General features: G+C 36.5%; 1 pseudogene; it reads right to left on the bottom strand.

Annotated features, from left to right (window-relative positions):
• Positions 1,356–2,391, bottom strand: CACYBPP2 (calcyclin binding protein pseudogene 2; annotated as a pseudogene).

A 4,900-nucleotide genomic window follows, 5' to 3' on the forward strand; every position in this document is an offset into this window, starting at 1 on the left:
TATCTCAAATTATTTAACCATTGAAGCATTTCTTTTTCTTTTTTTTAAATGAGAAATAAGCTTTCTGTGGAATTCTACCTAGGGATAAAAGATAAATAGTATTTTTATCTCCAAAATTCTATGATTCTTTAAAAAATTGGCAAATTTCAGAAGGCAGGCTTCAAAAAATATTTATGAATAAGGCCTTCCTCTTTTTAATAATCAAGCTACCCTTTTCCTAGACATATGCTGCATGACTACAAAATTCACTGATGCACCCATTTCTAAGATTATCAGCCTCTGTGGACTGCACTGAGTCTGTGTAGATTTTCAAAGTTCCCCGTGCTCTGGTCCTATAGTGCTTAGCCATAATTATCAAGCATTACTCATCATATAAACCTTCTATTCAAAAAACTGCTCTCTTTATTGTTTCCTTTATTTCCATCTTTGTACTTTTGCTTCTTTTTTTTTTTTTTTTTTTTTTTCTTGACCTGTTATATCTTCTCCTAGAACTTCAAAGTTTGGTGCATGGCCCCTTCTTTACAAACTTTCTCTAGTGGTTCTAGTCTACATTGATCTATTCTTTTACAAATTCAGTTTTTTAAAAAAAACTGGGCAACTTCTGCTCCAAATGCACAAACCTTGAGTCATCCCTGAACAGTACTGATTTAGTGGGTCTGGTATGGAGTCCAGGTACCCATAGGTTCACAAATCTCTGCTGGCAATTCTGGTATACAGAAAGGAGTGAAAAGCCTCTAACATATAATGTGTCTCCTGCACCAATCAATTAAACGTGTTTCATTGCTTCCAGTGGGCCAAGTGCTCTTCTTGGGGGACTGGATTGCACAGAACATAGTATTACTCCTACTCACAGGTAGCACAGAGTGTGGCTGTTGGGAGGAATTCAATCAGCTAATGGTGGTAAGTGCTAGAAAGGAGAAATGAGTGCACTGCTTCAGGAGCACCGAGTAATGGATGGTAAACAGAACTATGGAAAAAAATACCTCACAAGGAACAAAGTTCAGGTGGCTCTTGAAGAATTGGATTTTGTCTGCTAAATAAACAGCCTATCATGGCTGTGGCTCTAGCATAGAGTATAGCAGAAACAATAGAAATGCCAATAGCGGTCGGAATACAAAGGATTTAAAATACCATACTAAAGATGTCACTGTTTTCCTCTGGATAACAGAAAATAACTTAAGAAAGAAGCATCCAACTTTGTTGTTATCTAGTGTTGATTCATATAATAGAAATCCATATCAGCCTGCCCCCATACATTTTTATTAATAGTGTGTCAGGAGAATCCATTTTTAGTAAGGAACACTAAATCAGTAGCTCTCTAAATATATAATATTATACTCTCAACTAATTTTTTTTTTGCAGGAGTGTTTAATAAGCATATTTTATTTAAATAAATCCTCCAGTAGGAAATGGAGAATTCACTGCCTTTACTTAGAAGGCTATGTAAATAGCTATCTGTCAAATTTATATATGCAGCTCACCAATATTCCCTTACTGGAAACATCAGTATTTCCACATCACATCACAGTTCCCAAAAGGACTTTAAAGTCTCAAAATTCCGTGTCTCCTTTGGCTTGCTTCTCTCTTGATTTCACCCAGGCTTTATTAATGGTTTGCTTCATATCATCATCTCCATCTTCATAAATTTTCTTTAGAACATTCATCAATCCCTCACTAGGATCTGTTTCAGTGTCATAGGAGGGCTTCTCTTTTTCTTTGCACTCTTTTTCAACCTGGGTCAGGTAATCCCACCTTGTGTTTTCCACTTTCTTTCTACACAATATAAGAACTGTATCAGTCTTGACTTTTTTTGAACTGCCTTCCACAGAGATGGGTTTCAAGAGATTGTTCACAATCATGGAGTAACTCTTCCCATTTAAATTCTTTACCAAAAGATCAAATGACCTCTCTGTGAAATGCACCTGCACATTCTCAGTGGGAACTTGATGAACTCCAGTTAAGGTAATGTAGATTTTCACAAACTTATCTGACTGATCCCATCCATAATTACTGATTTTCACCGTATAGCCCGTTGTAATGGGAGCAACCACAGCAGCTGGTTTTTCATTATCAAGAAGTTCTGCTTTCTTCTGCGATTTCTGTTGCAACTTGTTCTTGATTTCGGTCTCAATCTTGGATTTTTCAGCTGTAAGGGCATCACGTACTCTTCCTAGTAGCCTTTTCCAGCAACACCTTTACCTCTTCTAGATCTTTCTGTAGCTCTTCTGAAGCCATGGGGGCTGGGTCAGGCCGAAGGCCCGAGCTGCAGCCGTGCAGAGGAAGGAACAGGAAACGCCGCGCCAAGCCCTCAAACCGAGCGCAGAGGCCTACCCGCACGAGTCGCAGCGCCGCAGCCTGCGCGCACACCGACCCTGTGCGAGATCGCGGCCCTAATTTTTCTTTAATTAGTAATTTATAATGCCCACATTTCAAAATATAATTTAAATGATTCTTGAAGGTCAATATATATTAATTACATTTAGCTTCCACTATAATTACTAATAAAGCCAAGTCCACTAGAATGATGATTACCAGAAACCAATTTTATCTAGGCAGCAGCAAACAGGCAAAAATAGTCTATTATTCTGTCAACTCATGTATGCTGGGTAAATTAGAGACTATTTGCTAAACATCTTAACTAGACCATCTCCCATAATTAGGCCTTATATGGCCTGTGGAACATACGTGGAATTAACGAAATCTAAAATGTGAAGTAGTCAACTATGCTGATTACTGTCAAGAGAACTATCAATTCAGTCATATAAAGAATATATTAGAGTGGAAAGAAACTGGAGTCCTGACAACTAATTGGGAAGATATTAAAATAGTAGAGCTTAATAAAAATCTGAAATATGGCACAGATGTTAGGAAGGCTGGTTAAAGGAAGGAACAGATTTTAAAAGTCCTCTGGAGGCAAAACTGATAGTCTGATTGTTTTGTAAGGAAGTATATTGGGGAATTAAGGATATGGTGGAGTAAAAGTTATCTAGCTTGTTCTTAGCAGAAGTATCTGTTTGACCTTATGCACATTCCTTTCTCTGCCAGGAAGCTACCAAAGGGCGCTGGATTGATGGTGTCACCTACTGACCAAAATCCAAACCACCAGGACACAATCACCTCCTCTCTGGGGCTCTCAAAGTCAGTACACAGGTATTTTTGTCTCCTATTTGTTAAAATTCAATTAATTCAGTTGTGTAAATCAACTTTCTCATTTATATGGACTATCCATATATCTTTCCCTGCTTTTCTATTCATCCCAGTTCTTTCTTAGCTGCGTCGGAAACATTTAGCTAATTTTACCATGGGGAATGCTAGCTACCTCATTAAAAAAAAAAGAAATTACAACCAAGAAAACCAAGAGTAGTACTTGGTATACACACCTATCCCAAGATGAGGGAGCATTTGATCAAAATTAGATGTTTATTTCATCAGCCCCCGCATGTGCTTAAAAGTACCCAGATACCTTCAGAGTCTAACAACCATCTTGTTTTCCTTAAAGCAAATTTCATATACCAGTATTCAAGACCAATATATCATTAGTTGATTCTGTTTTATCATCTTTATATTTAATTAAAAGTACTAGAGCAGCATTATCTTATTTATTATTGTAAGTATACAGCATGCCAGCAACATCATCAAATTGTCTTTTGTGGACATATTTTCATCACATTGTTTTTATGTGAAAAATTCGCTTGAATTTTTAAACTTTTGTAAGGTAATCTTTCACTTATAATGTGCAAGTAGAGAAATCACTGAATAATTGTTCATTAAATAAAAAAAACTATCTCATGAAATAAATTCATTAACCTCAAATTAGGTTTATTTAATATTCCTGGATACTGGTTAGGAAATCTAAAGGACCATGACTTCATACAAATACATAAGTGTGCCAAAGAATATGAAAAATATGGTTGAAATGATACTTATTATATTTCTGTTCCTGCGTGCAGGACTTTCTTAAGACAGTACTCAGGAAGAAATCTGTGGCAGAGTGAAAGAAAATTAAGAAGAGATTGTACTTCCTGAAGGCCTATTATAATGTAATTATGTAATCTTTCTCTAAAGGTGACCCTTTTGCCCCGCCTAACTTTTTAGAATTGTATTTCCTTATGTTCAGTCTTTCCAGCCATGGTTGAGGTGCATGTGTCCCTCACAGAAATCCAGTAGAATGACAAAAACATTTGACATTTACAGCATCTCGTGACCCTCCGAGGCACAGAAGTAATTTAATAGTGATGGAAAAATTTGCCATCAAACTACCCAAGTGTTCCTAAATAGTTTGGCAGTTAATAGTCCTGAGCTATTTCAGAATTTCTCAGTGTCTCCTACTGTACGGCATTGTTCACTAAGATAGCAAAAGCCTCCACTAACAAAGATACATTCAGATTTTTACAAATGCAGAGTGAACAACAAAAAAAGCAAGGTTATGTCTGAATGCTTAAAATATTTCTCATTTATAGGCAGAAGTTTTTTGCTGGCTATAAAACAAATCAGAACCAGCCCTGGAATCACCTAATCACAAAGAAAAATTGTTGTTGTTGTTGTTTTTTTAACTGTAGTCATTGCCACCTTTGGGGTTAGGAGTGGCAGAGAGAGGATTGCTATTTTGATTAGAAAAACAAAGTATCTCTGGTAATATAAGAAACAAATAGGCACACTGGTTCACACAGTAGCGCATATATCCATATGCTTAGTTTTTAAAAAGGTAGGTTAAAACATAACACTGCCAAATTCCTCTGAATAATATTATAAAAGAGTGTCTTTAATGAATGGCTTGATTTGTTCAGTTTCTCAGATGTTAGTTTCCCTTTCAAGGGAAGGCAAGTAGAAGAGACTAGAGACTGGGGTCCTCAATTTGAGCAGAGAAAGAGAAGATGGAATAAAAGAACAGATAGAAGCC

This window comes from Homo sapiens, chromosome 2 (genome assembly GCF_000001405.40).
Source record: "Homo sapiens chromosome 2, GRCh38.p14 Primary Assembly".
Lineage (NCBI taxonomy): Eukaryota > Metazoa > Chordata > Mammalia > Primates > Hominidae > Homo > Homo sapiens.